Source organism: Homo sapiens, chromosome 8 (assembly GCF_000001405.40).
Source record: "Homo sapiens chromosome 8, GRCh38.p14 Primary Assembly".
Classification (NCBI taxonomy): Eukaryota; Metazoa; Chordata; class Mammalia; order Primates; family Hominidae; genus Homo; species Homo sapiens.
This window is the reverse complement of record NC_000008.11, coordinates 11,760,858-11,768,801: the sequence shown is the minus strand read 5'-3', so window position 1 is coordinate 11,768,801 and position 7,944 is coordinate 11,760,858. Positions and strand designations below refer to the sequence as shown.

Genomic DNA, 7,944 nt, shown 5'->3' with positions numbered 1-7,944 from the left:
CATATGTTTTCTTGTCTTTAGTTCTCGAAGGAGGATGGGGAGCCAGCACTTTCCAGGAAGTTGGGAGGAAAGTCTGGGGAACTCCCCAGCAGGTGTTCAGGAAATAGGCTGGGGTGAAGTCACCATGGACCCTAGCTGAGGGGTCCCTGGGGAAGGACTTGGTCAGCACAGGGAAACAAGCCCAGCCCACCGTCAGAGACATGGTTGTGTCCTACTGATTGAGAGGGAGGTTACAAGTGGCCTTCCCACAGTGGTCACCTACTGAACAGGCTAGGGCAGGAGGTGAGGAGAGGGAGGCCTGGGGAGGCCTAGGGTATAGGGTCCTCATCTAGAAAGGCATCTGGAGGCAGAGGGGATGAGGTTGGAGGGCATGGGGTTTGCAGGAGGCATCCCTTGAAGAGCCTCTGGTCCCCCTCTTTCTATGTCCGGCCTTTTCTGGAGAATAACGACCCCCCCACCCCCAGGATGCCCCTGCTATAGGATCAGGCTCACCACAATGGTAGCTTCTGGGCCCCCTAGTTTCTCTTTCTGTAGAGTGGCTGAGCCGGGAGGGAAGCCGTAGCCACAGTCCTCGCCTTACCTGGTGGAATGAATGCCTGGTGCCTAAAGGGGTTCTTCTGAGGCTAAGGGGCTATGCAATTGAAAATCTCATGGTTCACAGCTTGGCTCTGTCATTGATTGTTATTGTTTATTGAGCGCGTACTATGTGCAAAACACTGTTGTGAGCTCTTTGCATATATTGCTTCATTATTAGTTGTGGGGATACAAGCAAGTCACAGTATCTCTGACTTCATTCATTAAATGGGATATCTATTAAATGGTATTATAGAAATATCACAAAGCCACGCTTCTCAAACTTCAATGTACCTATGAATCCCCTGGGAACCTTGTTTAAATGCAGATTCTAAGGTCTATACCAGGGCCCAAGATGTTGCCTTTCCAGCAAGCTGCTGGGTGACGCTGATGCTGTGGTCTAGGGGCCACATTTTTGTTTTGTTTTGTTTTCCGTGACATAGTTTCACTCTTGTTGCCCAGGCTGGAGTGCAACCCAGGCACGATCCCAGCTAACTGCAACCTCTGCCTCCTGGGTTCAAGGGATTCTCCCGCCTCAGCCTCCCAAGTACCTGGGATTACAGGCACGCACAAGCATGCCCAGCTAATTTTTGTATTTTTAGTAGAGACAGGGTTTCTCCATGTTGGCCAGGCTGGTCTCGAACTCCTAACCTAGGTGATCCTCCCTCCTTGGCCTCCCAAAGTGCTGGGATTACAGGTTTGAGCCACCGCGCCCGGCCCTAGGGGCTACATTTTGAGCAGCAAGAATTTAGAGCATCAGCTATTGGCAGTTGGTAGACACTCAACAAATTGAGTGAATGATTCAATTCATCCATGTTATGTGAATGATTAAATGAGATACTAGCTAAGAAACACACATAAACTGTAAGTATATGCAAGTGCTATGCAAGCATATGCAATCATCATTCTAAGACAAAAAGGCTGAATAATCTGCCTGGAAAAGGCCAGCCTAGAATAGTGACTCCACAGAGGAGTGGCTAGAAACCTGCTCCCATACCAGGCTGCCTGGGTCCACATCCCACCACTCAGCTGGGAGAGCCTGGGCAAGTAACTCACTCTTTCTGCATCTCAGTTTCTTCATCTGTAAATTATGACCTTACTGATTTATTTTCTTTCTTTCTTTCTCTTTCTCTTTTTCTTTCTTTCTTTCTTTCTTTCTTTCTTTCTTTCTTTCTTTCCTTCCTTCCTTCCTTCCTTCCTCCCTCCCTCCCTCCCTCCCACCCTTCCTTCCTTCTTTTCTTCCTTCTCTCTCTTCTTTCTTTTCTTTTTTTTTGACAGTCTCGCTCTGTCACCCAGGCCGGAGCACAGTGGTGCGATCTCGGCTCACTGCAACCTCCATCTCCTAGGTTCAAGTGATTCTCCTGCCTCTGCCTCCCGAGTAGCTGGGATTACAGGCGCCTCCCACCACACCCTGCTAATTCTTGTATTTTTAGTAGAGACAGGGTTTCACCATGTTGGCCAGGCTGGTCTCGAACTCCTGACCTCAGGTGATCTGCCCCCTCCTCGGGCTCCCAAAGTGCTGGGATTACAGGCCTGAGCCACTGCACCCGGCCTCTGTGGGATTTCTTGAAAGGATTCAGTTCCATCACTGCATTGGGTCTGGTGACTGCACTGGGTCTCCAGCACTGGATCTGGTGTATAGCATCACTAAACGTTTTAGAAAATATTATTTGTATTATTATTATTAGTAGTAGTAGTAGTAATATTTGTCTGCCTCCTGGATTGGGGCAACCCCCAAGCCCACTGGAGTGGGCCTCAGCTCCAAAAGGATGGGCGCCCAGCTTTCTAGGAGGCGCAGAATCAATTGCTCCCCCTTCCTTTGTGCCCCTGTTTTTTTTCCAACAGAGCTAGAGTTGTAATGCACATGAAAATAGATTAAAATACAGCCACCCCAAAGAATGCGAGGAAGGGAGTGAAAGAGAAAAATACTAGGATCCTGTAACGGATTGAGTTGCTGCTGAGAGTTTGGGGATTCTGAAGCACACGGTGAGGGTCCATGTGGCTCTACGGGCACCTCAGGAGCAGGGGCTGAGTGAGGTTCCGCAGGCTCTTCCAGTTGTCCCTTTTTGGGGGTATGTGGCCATGAACAGTAAGCCCTATTCCCCAATGTCTCTAGGTCTTTCTTTCATTACTTATAAGTTGGGAGAATTTGGAACCAAGGATTCTCCTCAACTCCTAGAAAGACACTGAAAGACTCTTCCTCTTGGACTGCCGTCTAAACCCAGACTGCGCAGGGCTTCCCATTTTGTAGATTTCCACTGTTTAGGAGACACAAGAGTGGGGTGTAAAAGCCCAGATTCTGGAGTGAAATAGATGTTGTTTGAACCCTGATTTCCACTTACTAGCTCTGTGACCTTCAACAAGTGACTAAAAATCCGTAGGCCATATCTTTTTTATGTGCAAAACGTGAGTGGGGGGATATGGAAGTGTTTCCTGCGGCTATAGAAAGCTGCTAGCAGCGTTTGACATGCAGTCATGTTCGATTAGCAGCAAGTGATTTTTGTTGGCAGAATTTCGGGGCTGCTGAGGGATTGACCGCTGGAAAACTCAGGCTGTAATGGAAGCTGAAAGGGAGAACACGTGCGCCCCCGCATGGTAGGCGCATTAACTGCAAGGGCAGTACCCTGGGTCGGTCCCATGGCCCTCCTAGTGAGGGTGGGCGGTCAGTGAATGTTGCTCTTCCTCACACCAGCTCTGTGGCTTTGGGCAAGTTCCCTTGACTAAGAGACAAAAGGATTTCAACCAGATGGTCTGGAGACCCGACATGATTTGTAAATGAGTCAGGCATGGTACCTCAATCTGGGCTTCCTTTCCTTAGCAGGGTTCAGTTTTCTTTGTTCCATTCAGTCTCTCCGGCCAGCTGTTGGAAACTTAGGGGTGCTAACTTCCCAGTCATTAGCAGCTTGTCTTCTGGGAGAAATTCAGTTTCCAAGGCTACTTTGAGGAACAATGCTCTTTGGATGTATGATTCTGGAATCATTTTTTTAAACCTCATTAACTGGGTCACAATGAAGACACTGCTTTCTATTTGAGACTCGAGACACCAATTTTTTTTTTTTTTTTGAGACAGAGTCTCGCACTGTTGCCCAGGTTGGAGTGCAATGGCATGATCTTGGCTCACTGCAACCTCCGCCTCCTGGGTTCAAACAATTCTCCTGCCTCGGCCTCCCGAGTAGCTGGGATTACAGGCGCCTGTCACCACGCCCAGCTAATTTTGTGTATTTTTAGTAGAGATGGGGTTCCGCCATGTTGGCCATGGATGGCCTCAAACTCCTGACCTCAGGTGATCCACCCACCTCAGCCTCCCGAGGTGCTGGGATTACAGGTGTGAGCCACCGCACTTGGCCAAGACATCAATCTTGAGTCTCCAGAAAGAGCATTTTCAAATCTTGGGGCCCTGAGGTGTCATCTGTACCAATGAGAGTGTGTGAGGCCCAGAGAGAGGGGTGAGTCATTTTCCTCCAATATGTGATTCCGTAGCTGCTGGTCCAGTCTTGGACACCTGAAGCTATCCAGGCCAAACCATTTTACAGATGAGAATGCTAAGGTCAGAGCAGTTGGGTGAATGGCCCAACAGCACACAGCCAGCCCATGACCAAACTTGTGCCGGAAGACAAGTCTCAGAATTCCCCGTTGTGGGCACTTCCGGTCCCCTCCTTTTTTTTAAGGAGGCAGAAGCGCAGGGGTCTATGGATACAGGATCCTTCCAGGTGTGTGTGTGCGGCAGTGGCCCCTCCTGGAGGCCCAAGGACCCAGAGGAACCCACAAGCCATTGAAAAACAGTCAGAAAACATCTAAGTAACCATCCATTTAGTATCTGTCACAAGGCCACAAAGTAAACTAAATGGAATGTCTTTGCCTTAGGCAGGAATCCAGCTTGCTGTATTGACTCTCTGGTACTTGTTAGCAGAGATGAACCGTTATGATTTTTGTTTGTTTGTTTGTTTGTTTGTTTGTTTGTTTGTTTGTTTTGAGATGGAGTTTCTTTCTGTCGCCCAGGCTGGAGTGCAGTGGCGGGATCTCGGCTCACTGCAGCCTCCATCTCCCAGGTTCAAAGGATTCTCCTGCCTCAGCCTCCCAAGTAGCTGGGATTACAGGCACCCGCCACCACCCCCAGCTAATTTTTGTATTTTTAGTAGAGATGAGGTCTCACCACATTGGCCAGGCTTGTTTCAAACTCCTGACCTCAAATAATCCACCCGCCTCAGCCTCCTAAATTGCTGGGATTATGGGTATGAGCCACCATGCCCGACTTGTTCATTTTTAAATTGAGGTATAATTTTCATGCGTTTGTTTTTGAGCTACAAAAAATGAGGAAAACCCCAAATGATTAGTTAAAACTACTTCAAAACATGGGACCTGTGCTGGGTGTGGTGGCTCACACCCGTAATCCCAGCACTTTGGGAGGCCGAGGTGGGCAGATCACTTAAGCCCAGGAATTTGAGGCCAGCCTGGGCAACATAGTGAGACCCTGTCTCTACTAAAAATACAAAAAAATTAGCCAAATGTGGTGGTGGCACACATCTGTAGTGCCCAGCTGCTCAGGAGGCTGAGGTGGGAGGATCACTTGAGCCCGGGAGGTGGAGGCTGCACTGAGCTATGATTGCACCACTGCACTCCAGCCTGGAGGACAGAGCAAGACTCTGTCTCAAAAATAAAAACAAAAACAAAAATGGGGACCATGGCAGGGGTGGGAGTGGGTAAAGGGGACTCTGCCAGTGGGAAGGTTGGAAGCCACTCTGAGGAATCCCCAAGGAAAGCTATACAATGGGCGACTGTGGAGGATATCACAGAGGATTCCAGCCCAGAGTCTCCAGCAGGGCCCGGGAGCCTCGGAGTTTATAGCAGCTCCTTCCAATGGAAAAGCATGTTAGGGGCAATCTGGACCCATTGCTTTGCTCAGCAGGGCCCTGGCCCACTTAAGGTTCTTGATTTCAGTGTTTACCGACCACATCTATCCTCCATTCCAGCTTAACAGTTTGAGATCATCAAGAGCCCAAGAAGTAATGGATATTTTCCATTTTTATTAAGTTCTCAAGGAAAAGGAGAGAGGAGGAATGATAAATCTCAGTTTATTATTATTATTATTATTATTTGAGACACAATTTCACTCTTGTTGCCCAGGCTGGAGTGCAATGGCATGATCTCGGGTCACTGCAACCTCCACCTCCCAGGTTCAAGAAATTCTTCGGCCTCAGCCTCCCAAGTAGCTGAGATTACAGGTGCCCACCACGATGCCTGGCTAATTTTTTGTATTTTTAGTAGAGATGGGGTTTCGCCATGTTAGCCAGGCTGGTCTCGAACTCCTAACCTCAGGTCATCCACCTGCCTCGCCTCCAAAAGTGCTGGGATTACAGGAGTAAGCCATCGCGCGCAGCCAATGTTTTTTTTAACATCTCTAATTACAACTCACTTTCAGCAAATTCGTCCTGAAGAGGCAGCACCAGAGACTACGGTATCTTTGTTGTACGAGCAGTATGCTAATATTGTCCACTAGTATTGTCCATAGTATTGAGCTGCTTCTGAATTAACTCCTTATGTCAGCCATTCACTTATTAGGAAGCTGCGACTGGTTCATTTGACTTGAAACGTGATTAGAACTGGTGCATCCTGTTACAAACTGCTTATAGATCCAGCGGGCTGTGTGTGTGTGTGTGTGTCTGTGTGTGTGTGTGTGTGTGTTTCTGTGTCAGAGGGAGGGAGAGGGAAAGAAGTTTATCAGGCAAATAACAGCAGCCACAGCGGTAGGACGGAAGACAGTCATCCCAGAGGAAATGGAGCGAGTGTGAGTGCGAGTATGAGAAGTGACTCATTTATCACTCATCTTGGGACGGGAGCAGCCCCCTTTTTGTGTTCATCTGAAAACCCCCCGACCTGGAGCTTACGATCACGAGCACCAGTATCTCACAGGCTTTTTCGATTCTTGTGTTCTGGTTAACTTGGAGCACAGCGGTGCCATCAGTACTTTTTGCAAAACTAACCCCCACACACACCCCCGCCGCCCCCGGGTTTTAGCCAGAGAAGTGAGCTGGCAGTGCACGGACCAGAAAAAAGAATGGACTTTGAAAAATGAGGGCTGTTTTACTATCATCTTCGCTTTGAAGATTTTTTCTTATTTGTTCTCAAATAGCCTTTTTGCAAATGCCACTGCCACTGCTATCTGGAGGAGCAATGTAAAAGTCACAAAGGAGCCAGAGCTCATAGGACAGCACCATGTCCCTGGAGGATAAGGGACAGGGCCTCAGTGACCGAAATGGGAGCAACAGTGTAAAGTGGCAGACAGACAACCGAAGGAGATTCCTGGAGATTCCACTTCCCAAGCTAAGCCTCGCAGGCATGACGCATACTTGTGTTGTTACAGGGTGACGGGACATTTGTGCTCCAGCTTCAAGCAAGCAAGGCAGGGATGCAAACTGAAGAATAGGCGCCAATGTCACAAAATGATAAAACAAGCAAACCAAAACCAGAACACCCAGACCCACTCCAAAAGAAAGAGCTTTCCGAATGGCTGTGTCCCATGCACTTGGTCCACGAGTGAGAGCTGGGGGGCTCTGCAGTGCGGGGCTTGTCCTAATACTCCCCACCCCTGGCTCCATTTGGTACATATTCAGAGGTTGTAAACTTATTATTGTTTTGAGATGAAGTTTCGCTGTTGTTGTCCAGGCTGGAGTGCAATGGCGAGATCTCGGCTCACCACAACCTCTGCCTTCTGGGTTCAAGCGATTGTCCTCCGCTTCCCCAGTAGCTGGGATTACAGGCAGACGCCACCACACCCGGCTAATTTTGTATTTTTGGTAGAGACGGGGTTTCTCCATCTTGGTCAGGCTTGTCTCGAACCCCTGACCTCAGGTGATCCGCTTGCCTCAGCCTCCTAAAGTGCTGGGATTACAGGCATGAGCCACCGCACCCAGCCTAAACTTATTTTCATTACTGTTAAGCCAAACATAATCACAGCATAATCCCAGCTAAAATTAATTTTGTTACTGCTCACCTATCTTAGAGGCATATAAGTCTAATTTTAAAGATAAATGCTCTCCTTAATTGTTAAAGGACTTGATGCGGGCTTCAAAAGGTTTTGTTTGTTGTTTGTTTCATTGTTTGAGACAGAGTCTCGCTCTGTTACCCAAGCTGAAGTGTAAGTGGCATGAGCTCAGCTCACTGCAGTCTTGACCTCCTGGGCTCAAGCGATCCTCCCACAACCTTCTAAGGAGCTGGGATCACAGGGGCACGCCACCATACCCAGCTAATTTTCTACTTTTTTGTAGAGAGTCCCCCTCTGTTGCCCAGGCTTGTCCTCACCTCCCAGGCTCAAGCAATCCTCCTGCCTTGGCCTCCCAAAATGCTGGGATTACAGGGGTGAGCCACCGTGCC

At 48.6% G+C, this 7,944-nt stretch overlaps 1 long non-coding RNA gene across 1 annotated transcript; it reads right to left on the bottom strand.

The window, feature by feature from the left end:
• Positions 5,578-7,546, bottom strand: LINC02905 (long intergenic non-protein coding RNA 2905). The gene has a single exon (NR_171032.1). It is a non-coding gene; the product is annotated as a long intergenic non-protein coding RNA 2905 (long non-coding RNA).